Source organism: Homo sapiens, chromosome 7 (assembly GCF_000001405.40).
Source record: "Homo sapiens chromosome 7, GRCh38.p14 Primary Assembly".
Lineage (NCBI taxonomy): Eukaryota > Metazoa > Chordata > Mammalia > Primates > Hominidae > Homo > Homo sapiens.
This window is the reverse complement of record NC_000007.14, coordinates 124,852,305-124,868,843: the sequence shown is the minus strand read 5'-3', so window position 1 is coordinate 124,868,843 and position 16,539 is coordinate 124,852,305. Positions and strand designations below refer to the sequence as shown.

Genomic DNA, 16,539 nt, shown 5'->3' with positions numbered 1-16,539 from the left:
ATATGAAAATTCAAAAAAATTGAATTATCATTGAATATATATTGAATTATTATTGAATATAATATATTGAATTATATTGAACATATATTTATATATTGAATTATATTTGAATTATATTCAAATAATCCAAATAATATATATATTGAATTATATTCAATCCAATTCCTTAGGATTATTACTTTTTTATATTTATTTAAATCATTTAATAGTTACCTTTTTTTACTATTGTTTATTGTGGTGGTCAGAAAACATACTCTGAAATGTTTAGTATTTTGAAATCTGTGGATGCTTACTTTATATTCTAACATATGGTCAATATAATTTTTTATTTCTTATCTATTTTATCAGCTATTGAAAACTGTTTTAAAGGCTACTATGATAGAGGATTTGCCTGTTTCCTTTAGCTCTATCGATTTTGCTTAATAATTTAAGGCAATGTTAATGGGGTTTAAGCCTTCTTATTTAATTTTATGTTTTATATATTGTGAGGCTCCTGTATAGATTTAGCATTACTATATTTTTCTATAAAGTTGTTTCTCTATTTTCATGAAATGTTCATATTTACGGCTAGTAGTGCTTCCTTACACTCTTTATGTTGACAGTTCCACTAGCTTTGAATCGCCCTGTTGTCTTTGGTTGAGCAAGGTCATTCTAAGTACAGACATTTGTTTTAGATATCAGAATTTATTTTTTCTTGTTTTTCTTATTGCAATTTGAAGATCATAGTTCATAGCAAAAATATACATTAAAACAAGAGTCAAGATCTACTCTTCTTTTTCCAGCAAATATTTATTTATTTATTTATTGTATAGGCATCTGTTTTAATGCAAAGAAGCAGACAGTATGAAAGTAAGCATATAAATCAAAGTAATTTCAAGTAGTGATAGCTACTATAAAGAAAATAAAGTGGTGGCTCACGCCTATAATCCCAGCACTTTGGGAGGGCTAGGTGGGAAGATTGCAAGGTCAGGAGTTCAAGACCAGCCTGGCCAGTATGGTGAAACCCCGTCTCTACTAAAAATACAAATATTAGCTAGGTGTGGTGGTGGGTGCTTGTAGTCACAGCTTACTCAAGAGGCTGAAGCAGGAGAATTGCTTGAACCCGGGAGGCAGAGGTTGCAGTGAGCCGAGATCGCACCACTGCACTCCAGCCTGGGTGACAGAGCACGACTCCATCCAAAAAAAATAATAAATAAATAAATAAATAAAAATAATAAAGCAAAATCAGGAAAGGCCTTTCTAATGAGGAGACATAAGAATTGAGACCCAAATGATGATAATGAGAAGTCCTGCTGAGATTTGAGGGAAAATGTTTTCCACCAGATGACACTATAGGTGCCAAGGCCCTGTGATAGGAATGAGCATGGTATTGGAGAAACAGAAATAAGACCAGCATGGGCAGCCATGGGGGAGGTGTTGCAAGATGAAATTGTGGTAGGTAAGTTATTTAGATTTTACTCTAGGTATAATGAGAAGTCATTAGAGGGTTTTAAATGTGAACATGAAATTATTGGTTCAAATTTTGAAAAAAATCTCTCTTACTAACGTGGATAACAGATGGGTTGTTGAAGAACAAGCATGAAGGCAAAGATATTCTTTAGAAGGCTATTTCAGTTTTACAGACATGAAATGAGGATGCGTTAGACTACAGTGGTGGTGGAAATAGAAGTAGACTAATTAAGGTATATTTTGAATCTCAAGCAAAGAGGACCTGCTCATAAATGATATGTGAAAGCTACCAACACACCTAAGCTGGAAGATTGTTCTGGTTTACTATGTTAATCAGCAGAGGCAAGCTTTAGTCAACAGTATACACTAGTGAGCATGGAATTGGTGATAAAAATGATGACCACAGAACCAAGAATCAATCAGACATTGGAGTATAAAAGAGAAGCAGCATATACATCAAGTAGAACCCATTTAAAAGTTAGGTAATCGATCAGTTGTAGGCAAGTATAGTTAGAATCTGCAGAGCGAACTTCTGTGTTACGAAAAATTAACTGGTACTAGACTAGCCCTACTACCACGAAGACCCATAAAACGTTATGAGGCAACTGTTTTTTAGGCATCGGACAATGGGTAGCTATGATCAGAGAGTGAAGAGAAACTTATAAAGTGAGCCCCATGATGACCACATCCCTGCCTATAGACATTTTCTCAACCACTGCACAGTAAGCTGAAGTTCAAGCTGTGGTCCTGCTATAGCTAAAGTCAAAGTTCAAGGCAGCTGAAAGCTGGAATTTTCACAACAAGAAACCAGAGAGGAAGGAGTTATACAGAAGGGGATGTCTAAAAGTCCACCAGGGTTGGGGTGGGCTCGAATACTTGGTTGAAAGCCAGGCTGCACAGAGCAGGGTAGAACTACTTAAGGATTACAAAAGCTGCTGTGTGGTTGAACTGTGGTTGAACATGAAATGGATACTGGAGGTCTAGTAATGGGGTGCTGGAAGTCCAAGATAGTCAGGGACAAATAACCTTATTAATACCTCCTTAACAGCTTGGACATTCAGCTGAGGCAGCACAAAGGTTTCACCCCCCAAAAGTAGCTCACCTCACGAAGGACCACATCTTATAGTAAGGCCTATTCTACACATGTTTTATCAAAGCCTGAAACAAGTTCTACGGAGAAGACTTCGCAGAGAGTTTGCAGGGTGAGTCCCATCAAGGTAGAAGACTTTGGGAAACATCATGGGCTTTCCACGTATCACCCTAACAAAGCATAAAAACAAGCATTCATGAGTTTAAGATGACCAGACAACAACTCAGTGGCCAACAAGAACAAAAATCAGTGTTTGTCAGAAGAAGCCAACATAATTCAGAGTCTTTACAGTATAGCATCTATGATGTCTAGTAAAGAAAAAAAGATATATTCTACATGAAAACAACAAAGTGTTACCCTTAGTCAAGAAAAAAGAAAAAATCATACACATTCCAAACCAACTCCATGGTAGCCCAAATGTTGTCTTTATTAAACAAAAACTTTAAAGCACAGATTATATAGACTTTCAAAGAATTAAGTGGAGGTGAGAAGATCCCTTGAGCCCGGGAGGTCAAGGCTGCAGTGAAATATTATTACACCACTGCATTCCAGCCTGAGTGACAGAACGAGATCCGTCTCAAAATAATAATAATAATAATAATTAATAAATAAAATAACTTAAAAAAGGAATTAAGTGAAAATAGATTCAGTGAATTAGAGGAAGATGTTAAATGAATGAAAAGAAATTTCATCAGAGAAGTGGAAACTATTAAAAAAATAGAAATTCAGGAACTGAAAAGAACAAATGAAAAATCTAATGGATGGGCTAAATAGATCAGATATAAGTTAAATTGATGACAAATCATTAGAAGCTACCTAATCTGAAGAACAAGGATTAAATACAAATTAATAGACCCTAAGGACCTATGGAACAATATCAAGGGTTACATGTAATTTAGGATGCAAGAGGAGAGAGGGTGAAGGGAAATAAAATATTTATAGAAATAAGGACCAGAATTTCCCCAAATTTGATGAAAAACAAAGACTTAAATGTACTTTATGCAGGGTATGTGCAAAGAAACGCACATCCAGACAAAACTTTCTCAATGTGAAACCATTGAGAAAGAGAAAAATCTTGAAATCAACTGGAGAAAAAAATGATGCATTGTTGGAGAACAATGATACCAGTCATCTTTCACTTCTTACCAGAGACAGTGACACCCAGAGAACAAAGAAGTAAGTTTTATATGGTGATAGAAAAAAATTTATTCACACAGAATTTTATATCCAGCAAATACATTCTTCAGGAATGAGAGTAAAATAAAAACATTTTATATAAAGGAAAAATGAGATAGTCCATGGCAGCATATCTGCATAGCATTAATGCTAAAGAATGATATTCAGGCCAAAGAGGAATGCTAGCAACTAGAAGCTGGATAGTTAAGAAGTGACAAAAATACAAGAAATGATGGAAAAAAATAGCAAATACGTAAACACAATGTTTTTCTTTCCGTAATTTAATTAAAAGAGAAATGTCTATTTAAAGCAAAACCAATAATATTACATGGTGGAGATTATAAAATATGTAGAAAAAATACTACAACAGTAACACAAAGGATGGATGGGATAAGTAAATGGAATTCTACCATTGAAAAGATATTTGTGAAGTAGAACGCGTAAAATAGGAAGTGGCAAGTATGAAATGGAAAGTAGAAAGTACATAGTGGAACAATATTGATTCCAAGTGGACATTAAGAAGTTAAAGATTTATTCATAGCTAAGAAGAACGAAATGGAGCACTAGTAAGAATTCCAAAAAGAAAACAAGAAAGGAACAATAGGAAAAAAAATGGTTTTAAAAAAGCAAAGAAGCAAAAAAGCAAGAAGTATGAAAAAAAGGAAAACAAATAAGATAGTAGACTCAAATATGGCCATGTTAATAACTGCATTTCTGTGAATGGACTAATTTCCAATTGCAAGGAAAAGATTGACTGAACAAAAATAATCAGGAACCAAATATATGCTACCTATGAGAAATGCACTTTAAATATGAAGACCTAAACAAGTTAGAACTAAAACTGTAGGAAAAAAAATGTGCAAAGTAAACATAAGGGAAATGAAGTAACGATATTACTACGAGAGAGTTTTGGAAGGAGCATTTCATAAGGACAAAGGGGTCACTTCATGAAGATGTAACAATATAAATGTATGTGCCTCTGATAACAGCCCCCAAATTCAGAAAGCAAAAGAGCTTATGGCATATCTCAGTGCTCTCAGTCACTCTGATTAAACTCTAGCCTGAGCTTCATTTTGTTCACTTTATATTCTCATATTTCAAGTGTTCTGGTCTTTTCTATAATATTCATAAGTCACTGTCATTTATGGTCCTTTTTCCTTGTATAAATTACACCTTAATAAAAAAACTAATAAATGTAAAACTGCAAGCTTGATAGGATTAGGGAGACTACCACCTAGCTCTTTAAAAAATGTAAGTGAATTTTGCATGGAGGTTCACAGTTTCCATGATACTTCTGTATCTTGGTGTAGCACCAGCACTTGAGTGTAGAATTTACATGCTAATTAAATGAAAAATAGTTTTTAAAAAATGCCCTCTCTTAATTATGCTGGCAAAATTGATAATCTTTCCAGTTTCTTTGGTTCGTAGGTTGTGCATCAGTAAGCTATTTTATTTGTATCTGTTTTCTACTTTGCCCTACTTTCTTAGATTCAAGTATATAAAAAGGAGACTCAGGGTATCACCAGCTCTGGCTTTGCATCTTTGACGTTTGAGGGAACTTTGGGAGCCCCTATCATACCTCGCACTTCAAGCAAGTATTTTAACTTCACTACTGAGGACCACAAAATGGTAGAAGCCTTACGTGTTTGGGCATCTACTCATATGTCACCGTCTTGGACATTACTAAAATTGTGTGATGTTCAGCCAATGCAGTATTTTGACCTGACTTGTCAGCTCTTGGGCAAAGCAGAAGTGGACGGAGCATCATTTCTTCTAAAGGTACATATTTTTTAATACTGGGAATTATAAGTTAGCACCACTTACATGTCTGTAAAGAGCTTATGTTTCAGCATTCTGATGAGATAAAGCATGCTGTGTATTATACTAGGAACTTAAATTTTAACTATTTTTGACGAGCCTCAATATTCATGCAGCTCTACTCTTGTACCTCTCTAAAATTTTACACTTTCCTTCCAGAGAAATATAGTGTTATTAGATCTACATGTTAAATATAGTATGACTGATGCATTTTTAAAATTTTAGTAGTAATAAGATGTAGACTTGTTTTCTATTATTTCATAGTTTGTAGTCCTATACATGAATATTTCTGTTTCCCTGTCAAGGTCACCTTCCCTCTCATTTATTTACTTTTTTGTCCCGTTGATGTTGGGTTCTCTTCTTATGTCTTTCACTGCCTACTTCATAGTCATACCATGGACAGTTTTGAAGCATTTTGCATTACTGTGTTTTGCTTTTAAATCAGCAAGATAAAAAAATAACTTAAGACCCATCAAATCTCTGTATATACCTATCCCAGTTTAGAGAGTAACTTCTGGAGAAGCTGGATGTTTGATGTTTTTCTTGCCTGGACATCCTATGGAGGATACATTTGAACAAATGCCTCTTCAGGCCTGCTCCTATGGTTATTTCTCTCTATACTATCTTTGGAATAATAGGGCAAGAAATGGAATGCAGTGGCACTTGGACAAGTCATGGAGTTTAGCATTATTATGATTTACACCTTGCCCATATTAAAAAACAGAGAAGTTAGAAATCATTGAATAAAATACAAAGTTCTAGCAGTTGAAAATAGCACACTCATATACACATGGAATATTATGAGAAAGTCGTAAATACATGCCCTGCAGAAAGTTAAATAAGTCAAATATGATAAAGCTGAAGCTAAAGCAATATAAAATCAAACAAACTTAGAGCGAATCTAGGTCAACCAGTCATACTCTGGCAAAAGTGACATTCTTAACAAATGAGCATTTGCTAACAACTGAACACTTCCTATGACAAGGACTCTACTACTATGCACTGAGGCATATTCTATCTTTTGACTGTGTTTTTAGAAAATTCTTAAATTCTAAGATAAAATGTGCCAACTTTTAGCTGAAATAGTTGAGTCTACATTTTCTCTCTGCAGAAACACAGCACATACCTGCATCCCATTGTAACAGATAACTTTTTTGGACAAGTGAAAACCACTGTCACGTAACTGTTAGTTTAAAATACAATATTGAAAAGTCAAAAAAGAGCCCATATAGCCAAGACAATCCTAAGCAAAAAGAACAAAGCTAGAGGCATCATGCTACCTGACTTCAACCTGTACTACAAGGCTACAGTAACCAAAAAAGCATTGTACTGCTACCAAAGCAGATATATGGACCAGTGGAACGGAACAGAGGCCTCAGAAATAACGCCACACATCTACAATCATCTGATCTTTGACAAACCTGACAAAAACAAGCAATGGGGAAAGGATTCCCTATTTAATAAGTGGTGTTGGGAAGACTGGCTAGCCATATGCAGTAAACTGAAAGTAGACCCCTTCCTTACACCTTATACAAAAATTAATTCAAGATAGATTAAAGACTTAAACATAAGCCCTAAAACCATAAAAACCCTAGAAGAAAACCTAGGCAATACCATTCAGGACATAGGCATGGGCAAAGACTTTATGACTAAAACAATAAAAGCAATGGCAACAAAAGCCAAAATTGACAAAAGCCAAAATTGACAAAGTTAAAGAGCTTCTGCACAGCAAGAGAAACTATCATCAGAGTGAACAGGCCAACCTACAGAATGGGAGAAAATTTTTGCAATCTGTCCATCTGACAAAGGGCTAATATCCAGAATCTACAAGAAACTTAAACTAATTTACAAGAAAAAACAACCCCATTAAAATGTGGGCAAAGGATATGAACAGACACTTCTCAAAAGAAGACATTTATGTGGCTAACAGACATATGAAAAGAAGTTCATAATCACTGGTCATTACAGAAATGTAAATCAAAACCACAATGAGATACCATCTCACGCCAGTTAGAATGGCAATCGTTAAAAAGTCAGGAAACAACATGCTGGAGAGGATGTGGAGAAAAAGGAGCGCTTTTACACTGTTGGTGGGAGTGTAAATTAGTTCAGCCATTGTGGAAGACAGTGTGGCGATTCCTGAAGGATCTAAAACCAGAAATACTGTTTAACACTGCAATCCCATTACTGGGTATATACCCAAAGGATTATAAATCATTCTCCTATAAAGACACATGCACACGTATGTTTATTGTGGCACTATTCACATTAGCAAAGACTGGGAACCAACCCAAATGCCCACGAATGGTAGACTGGATTAAGAAAATGTGGCACATATACACCCTGGAATACTATGCAGCCAAAGAAAGGATAAGTTCATATCCTTTGCAAGGACATGGACGAAGCTAGAAACCATCATTCTCAGCCAACTAACACAAGAACGGAAAACCAAACACCGCATGTTCTCACTCATAAGTGGGAGTTGAACAATGAGAACACATGGAGACAGGGAGGGGAACATCACACAATGGGGCCTGTTGTGGGGTAGGGGGCTGGGGGAGAGATAGCGTTAGGAGAAATACCTAACGTAGATGACGGGTTGATGGGTACAGCAAACCACTATGGCACGTGTATACCTATGTAACAAACCTGCACATTCTGCACATGTATCCCAAAACTTCAAGCAAAATTTAAAGAAAAGAATTAGTAAAAGCCTTTCTTACAACAATTTAAGAATAAGCCTCAAAAGTCTTTTTGTACCCTTCAACTCAGCAATTTTATTTTCATTATCTTAAGGAAATAATTTAAAATATTTACAAAGGTGCATTTAAAAGAATATATTTATCTTTCTTACAGTATAAAAAATGAGAATACAGTAGAAAAATTAGAAAAAAACAAATACTAACAATAGAGAATTGTGTACACTATTTATGTAGGATGACCATAAAATAACATTGTAAATGTCACCATAAAATACTTTGTAACCATAAAATGACATTATAGACATACACTTGTTGAGATAGAATTTCATGATGGTCTATTTAGTGATTACTGTAGTTTCATTTACACACTAAAAATGTATATGTACATAGCAAAAATATATTGGGAGGCCTATAAAGCAACATTTTACTGTTTTCAACTCTGGGAAATATGAGTGATTTTTTTTTTCCGGACAGTGATTTTCTTATGTATCAGAAATAATTTTTAAATTATATTTTTTAATAACAGAGGAGCTAGACATTACTCGATATAATGTCTGGTTACATACAAAATAGTATAATCATTTTCCATCTCAACCTGGGCACAATATTAATATTGGTACCTTTTTTACTAACCACAGTGCATTTATTTTAATTTTTCAGTAGCCGTGGTATACCAATCGTTTGCATTAAATATAATTTAATAAATTTGTTGATCTGACATCATTCCATATTTTTCTCTATTCTGTTAATATTATATGTTTTTTTTTTCTGAGCAATACTCTCAAATTGAGTTTTCTCTAAATGTATATATTCTATTTGTTTTAATATCTACAGTATTGGTGCGGCCTTATCTTTTGTGTGTTTTGTTTTATGGTTTTTTTTTTTTATATAAATAACCAGGCGTCATTTATAGCCAGAGCTGGTGGGTAATTTGTATGTCTCACCTGTAATACGGTTTGGAGAAGAAAAAGCATAATGTGAACCAGAAAATCATCATATAAAGGAAATTATTCAAATTTACAACATTTACTTCTTTGTATGGAAACATCAGAATAATGCTTTACAACTAATTTAAGAATGAGACTGAATCTCATAAAAATAATTTGATTAATGTCAAATGTATTACTATTATAATTTTTAGAGCATTCATAATTTTACTAGTTGTATTTATGTGCAAAAATATTTTAATACATATGAGTGTTTTTCAAGATCATTTTGGTTTGTTTTTATTGTATAAAGCACTTGACTCAGGAATATTTAGTCTGAGCTTATGGCAGTGTGACTCTTTTTCTCCTTTACATTCTTCTACATTTTCCACATTACCCATATTTCATATGTAGTTCTTTAACAATCAGAAAATAATGTCATATTTAAAATAGTGCCAATATTCAGAGGCATAAGTTTAATTACTTTTAAATACTGTTTCCAGGAAAAAACTTTTTAGCACAAGCATTTTTTCAAAAGGATCATAAAACTACTCTACTCTCTTATGGCAGGTATGGGATGGCACCAGGACACCATTTCCATCTTGGAGAGTCTTAATACAAGACCTTGTTCTTGAAGGTGATTTAAGTCACATCCATCGGCTACAAAATCTGACAATAGACATTTTAGTCTACGATAACCATGTTCATGTGGCAAGATCTCTGAAGGTGATGTATAGTAGGAAAAAATGTTATTTTATGTTTTTATAAATTATAGTGATTTTTGCTCATGTAAATTTTTTATATATGGTTACATGTATAGGTGATACAGTCTAGAAATTATATTTATTTCTTTGATTTTTAAGTTGTAAAATGTATGTTACAATAAATTATTAAAAGATAAACTTAATGGGTTAGAGCAATTTTTAAAATAATCTTTCTTAAATGTCTTAAAGGTATACATAATTTTACTGTGAAAATAGTATAGAAAAATTTTGTTGTGTGAGATAATACTGCTTTAGAATGAAAAAGGCTATATAAAATATTGCTAACTTAAATGCTAAGCTTGGTAAACTGGTTTGATAGAATGTAGCTGATAACTTTTTGTTCATTAGTTTAACAAATTGTTAAATTACAATTTGTTATAATTGTAATATTTATATTACAAGTTTATATTATAAGTTTATAATATTATAAATTGGGTGTGTGTATACTGTGTAATTTATAGAATTTGCATACTGTCTTCTGAAATACATTAAGGTGCACAGTTTAGATATGGCAGTACTTAACTATTAACAAAAATTGTAGGGAATTTCTTTTCTCTATTATATCTTTTATTTGAAAGTACTTTTTGTAGTAAAGAATGGTATGATAAATAATAATGCAGTAAATAATAAGAGTAACTTTTGCTAGGCACTTTATATGCATTTGGTACTCTCCTATAAGACAGGTGATGGTAGTCATCTCGTTCTACAAATGTGAAATGAGGCACTCAGGTTAAATCAGTGGTTCAAGATTCCACAGCTAGTTGGATTGAAGCAGGGTATTTCCCTGACCCCTTCACGGGCAGGAACTGGAGTGCACAGGTGCTGGAACTAGGCAGCCGCTTCAGTGCTGGCAGGGGAGAGCTCCACTCACTCAGACCACAGGAGTGGGAGCATGCAGGTGAGCAGGTGCAGGAGCCAGGGCAAAGGCTTTTGGGCACGGGCAGAAGCAAACTCTGTACTGGCCCCACAGCAGCATCTGAGAGGGTGCTGGTGACCCCTGAAGCCCCAGAGGAAGTGTTACAGTACTGTTTTAGCTCTGTCATCCATGGACAGCTTAAGTGTTAACAGCTTAGTGCAGGGTAGCTGTGACTGACTCACACCACACTTGTGGCACCCGAGCTCTTGTGTAGCATCCAGGAGGAATGAGGTCTCAAGAATAAAATGAAGATGGTAAATTCAGGGGATTTCATTACTGATGAAAGTGGCTCAGTGGGAAGGGGAAGTGAAAAGAGGATGGAGCAGGAAGGTAGTCTTACCTTGAAGTCTGGCCCTCTCTGGCCAGATTCTTCTCCCAGGTTACACCATCAAGCTGTCCCTCTGAAGTCAAGCTGCTTCTCTCTGACATCCAGCCATAGTGTCTGATGGCCAGCTGCCTCTCTTCCCTCTGCCGGCTGAGCCTGGGGTTTTTATGGGCACAGGATGTCAGGTGGGGTGGGCCATGGATGGTTTTAGAAAAGGCAACATTTGAGCAGGAAAACAGGGATGTAAGTTCTCACTTTGGGCCGTGGTATCAGGCTTTTCAGCTTGAGAGCAGGGTCCTTGCTGGGGACCTGCCCTCTTCTGCGTAGAATTTCCCTGCCTCCTGTCCCTATCTGGATGAAGCCAGTGTTTGAATCCACAATGTCTCTTTGCAGAGCTAATCTTTTAAAGCATTAAATGGAAGTGATCTCCATCACAAATATCTTCTAGCCTACTTATAGGAAATTAAAAGAAAACAGTAAGAGTGAAGATCTGAATTTCAATGCCCAATTTCCCTTTATAAATCAGTGGCCATGGAGTAGCAAATATATCCATTCTACATTGTATCACAAATAAGTTCACCATCAATACTGTTCTGGGTTACAGAAAAAATAGTAATTAGAAAACAAAACAACAACAAACCAAGTAAGTTTACTCAACTCAAATCAATAAATTAGATTAAATCCAGGGTCCAGGAAGATAGTGACTGTACTTTTTTGTCCTCTGTGTGTATATATGTATGCACATACATCTGTGACATATCAGAAAACACTGACTGTTGAAGATATATTTTTGACATTATTTCCCTGAAAGATATTATCTACATTGATTAGTTTATTTCAAAATTAAATATATGATAAGTTCAGTTCTGGAGGTTTTTTCATAGAGTTCTTTCATAAATAAAATGAATTTACATTTTAGATTCACCTCAGTTCCACACTCTGCATACCTTCCTTCGCCATTTTATTCCCTTCTCTTTCCCTATACTGCTTCCAAACAGGTCTTCCAATGTAGGTCTTTCTGTTTCCGCTTTTCCTGCTTTTCTTGTCTTAGTCCTGAACAGCACCTATCGCAGTGCTTTCCCTGTAGTGAGGATGAAGTAAGTAATAGCTGCTGCTGAATGAATGAATCAGTGAATGCTGTGGATTTTTTTTCCAGATTCTTTTCTCCTTTTTTATGTTCTGCTTTATTTTGCCCACTAGAGGGTGATATGAGCACACATAATTAAGAAAATGTATGGCACTGTGTTTTCTGTGAAGATATCAATAGCATTATATTATTTGTCTGCAATGCAATATGAAAATGATTTTTCTCTGTGTAAGTAATATAACTTTAGATTTTTATTTAATACACATTGACATCACATTTATTTGTTTTCTGACAACCTCTGTAACATTTCTTCTTAATTTAGGAACTCTTCACTCACGTGACATTGATATAAATGAATTCTTCTTGGTACTTTCAAGACAACTGTTTAAAATTACGTTTTTGTGTCAAAATACCTGGAACCAGTACGAAAGACTTTTGTTGTATAGAAACAGGAAAAAATGTGTTTTTATTTTAGTAAAGAGGACAGTATAATGCAATTATAGAATATAATATAATCAACATCTACAAGCAATGTATTTTAGAGCCCGAATTGCCCTTAACTATTTTCTGAATCTCACTTTTTGTTATATCATTCCCTTAAACATTTTACACAGACCCAGTCACATAAACTGAGATTTCAAATCTTTTGTCTGGAAACTAAAGCTTTACTTTCTAAATCCCTACTCTTATCCAGACACAATTGTTAATTATAAAATATACGTGGTCATAATTATGTTTTGGCCTTCAATAGTTCAACAGCTGTGATTTGGTTGGCTATTTTGAGACATATTCAGGGAATTAAAAATAATAAACCTAAAGGGAAATTCTTGACCGTTTATGACAAATCGTTTGATTATTTCTAAAGGGATAGTCATTTCTTACTAGCCATATTTACTTTGCTTTTTTTTTTAGTGTTTCTAGTTTTTTTTTAGTATTTAAATAGACTTCTATAGTTGTTTTTTAAACTGTATTTTTATAATTTTTTGGTTGATGTTTCATTTGTATTTTTGGAATCTTAATACTGACAAGATTAACCAATACTTGTTTTTTTATAATAGAGCATCTGGCACATTTCATAGTATTTTTAGTCAAGCTTTTGAAAAAATACAATGCTGCCTCCATAAGGAATTTTTGATAATAACAACTTATCTTTATGTGAATAACTTATATCTTGGCCTCGAAATTTTGTTATGTTAAAAAATACTGTAGTAGACAAGATAGTATAATAAACACCCGTGTGTTCACCTTATTTTTTAAATGTTTTGCCACATTTATTTCAGACACTTTTAAATTTTAGGAAATAAAACTCTACACATCGAACCTTCTTTGAGCTCCTGCCTGCTCTGGTTTTTTTTTTTTTTTTTTTTTTTTTGCTCTCCTCTCTGTGTCTCCATATGTAGGTTTGTACGTATACCTATGTTTATTATCCTTTTTCTTTATGTATTTTTTGATAGGGTAAAGCCCCCCTCTCATATTCTTTAAAATTGATTTGACTGTTCTCTTTCGTATAAGTTTTTGGATTAGCTTTTCAGATTCCATGAAAGCTTCTGGGAATTTTGATTGAATTGCATAAAATTTAAAGTTTAATTTGGAGGAAATTATCATTTTTGTAATATCAAAGCCTTTTGTATGTGAATATCTTTCTCCATGTGTTTAGGCCTTCTTTCAAATCTTTTGTAGATCATACATACATGTGCTATACTAATATATTTATATATACATATACACACACATATTTTAAAAGAATCACAAAATAATCCAGTCAAAAAGAATGAGATAAAACTAGAAAATTTTATGTTTTTTCCAATGTCTCACTTTGAAGACTATGAGGAAAATTATTTTTTTCTTTTTTCTTTTTGTTCTTTTCTTCTTTAACTTTCTTTATACTACTCCCTGGTTATGATATAGATGTAAGTGAAAGAGGTCAAAGGAAAGGCTTGTATTTTGTCTGCTCCTTATAAAACCCTTGATTGGTTGGGAAAAAAGATCCTTGGGAATGAAGGAGTAGCACCTGGGAGTGTGGGTTTTCTCCTTACCTCCTTTGCTTATATCCTCCATCAGAAATAAAGAGTAATGAGGGGAAATATAATTAAGAGAAGCTACAATAAGCAGAATTGGAAAGTTGATTTGCTACTCATCTTTTTTTTTTAAACGTTTCCTTTTATAGGATTGAGCCTCCATAATCTAAAAGTCCAGAATTCTCCTAAATGCAGATCTTTTTGAGTGCCAGTATGCGAGTGAACCCTTTGCTTTCCAATTATTCAGTGTACAAAAATTTTGTGTCATGCACAAAATTATTGAAAATATTATAGAAAATTACTTTCAGGTGATGTGTATAACATATATGTGAAACATAAATGAATTTCGTTTTTAGACTTGGGTCTCATCTCTAAGATAGCTCATTATATATATGCAGATATTCCAAAATCTGTAAATATCTGAAATCTGAAACACTTCTGTTTTCAAGTATTTCAGATAAAGAATATTTAACCTATATAGTTTTTTTGTTATGTAAGATGTCTGTTATTCAATCCTGAACTTGTAGGGGAAAAAAAGTGGTATCCCTATAGTCATCCAGTAGTCAGGAGTGCTATATTTATACAAATGAATTAAATTTCCTTGTTTGTAACTCCTTTTGCTTCTAAATCTTTCTTCATAAATATAAATGTGATTTAGGTTATATAGCTTCTTTTAGGTAGGTGTCAATATCTTTGAATAGCATTCTGCATCTCTCTCATTTGAAATCTCCATTAAAAGAAAAATCTCAGTGGTCTATAATTAAAGACATTTGTAGACTAAGTTTAGCAAAACATCTGAGATTAACTATAGAACATTTAATTCAAAACTCTAATTAGTTAACTCTTACGTTTGAACTCAAGGAGTGTTTCACACTGTGGTGGTACAGGCACAAATGCAGAAGTTTTCTTTCCATAGAACTTGTAAGATGGAAGATGTTTATTATTTTTCGGTAGTACCATATTTAAAATTTCTTCTTAGCATTCTTGTAATGACAGTATCTTCAGGATCATATTTAATTAATCCTTAAACTAGTTAAAGCAAGGCATTTTCAGAAACCTTAGTCAAATAGAGGGCTTGAATTCCGTTTAGGTAATGGGTTTCTTAACCATTATATTTTATTGATGCTAAGACACAATATTTTTTCACATTTTAATAGATCTGAAATGGAAATATCTCTTACAGTTGAATGTGTGTGTATATGTATGTGTGTGCACACACGCATATGCATGCACATGTCCATATATTTAGTTTTGATGTAGTGTCCATGCAGCTGATATTCAACCACACTCGTATAGCATACTTTGCAGATACTTTAGTATATTTCCTGACTGGTCAGTGCCCTCATTGGCCCCATATTGGTTATTAAAGTTTTAAATATCAGAAGTATTTTAATTTTTCCCCACTTTCTAAATAACAAATGATCTATTTTTTAGGTTGGAAGCTTTCTTAGAATCTATAGCCTTCATACCAAACTTCAATCAATGAATTCAGAGAATCAGACAATGTTAAGTTTAGAGTTTCATCTTCATGGAGGTACCAGTTACGGTCGGGGAATCAGGGTCTTGCCAGAAAGTAACTCTGATGTGGATCAACTGAAAAAGTAAGCTTTTAGTATTTAGAAAATGTAAATAAGGTATCGATTAAGCCGATTTCTAAGATAATATTGTTCCTGGGGCTTCTGATAGTTCCCTAGCCTTTTGTGCCATTTGCCATGTTTTTAAATAGATGAGCCAAATGAAACAAATCAAATGATTATAGGCTCATAGAGCTAAGTAGTAGCAGAGCCAGGGTTATAGTTGAAGTTTTCCAACAGTTTGAATCTGGCTTTTACACTCATGCTTCTCTTCTATCATTTACCACACTCTCCAAGTACAGCAACAAACAGGGGAAACTAGACCTTAGCTAAAGTTTGGAAAATTTGATACATATCTAAGATTCCAAAAATATTTAATTCTCTCATGAAAAAAATGTATTTCTGAAGTGCCACTGATTAAATAGATAACACATGTTTTGGTGTATCACTCTCTTTTAAACTTTTTAAAATTTTTACATGTGCCAGAAAGTAAATAGTATCTTAGACCTGCTATATATTTAGATCTGCTTTTCCCAAGGTATTCCTAGTGAGTATTGTGTGCAGAAGCATTTTGGTCAATATTCTAGAAATTTAAAAAATCTTCATATCTTCAAAGAGAAAACATACTGTTCATTAAATTTAAATAACTTTTGTCTACATTTTAATTCATTGGAATTAGTGTGACATTAAATTA

At 33.7% G+C, this 16,539-nt stretch overlaps 1 protein-coding gene across 5 annotated transcripts in view; it reads left to right on the top strand.

The window, feature by feature from the left end:
• Positions 1-16,539, top strand: part of POT1 (protection of telomeres 1) — a 107,440-nt gene that overhangs the window by 60,982 nt on the left and 29,919 nt on the right. For all 5 annotated transcript variants that reach the window (NR_003103.2, NR_003104.2, NR_003102.2 and 2 more), the window contains 3 exons: positions 5,204-5,494; positions 9,732-9,887; positions 15,706-15,872. Coding sequence is in view for 2 of the 5 variants with exons in the window: in NM_015450.3 (NP_056265.2) it covers positions 5,204-5,494; positions 9,732-9,887; positions 15,706-15,872 (614 nt within the window). In the remaining 3 variants the exon portion in view is untranslated. The remainder of the gene's footprint in view (positions 1-5,203; positions 5,495-9,731; positions 9,888-15,705; positions 15,873-16,539) is intronic.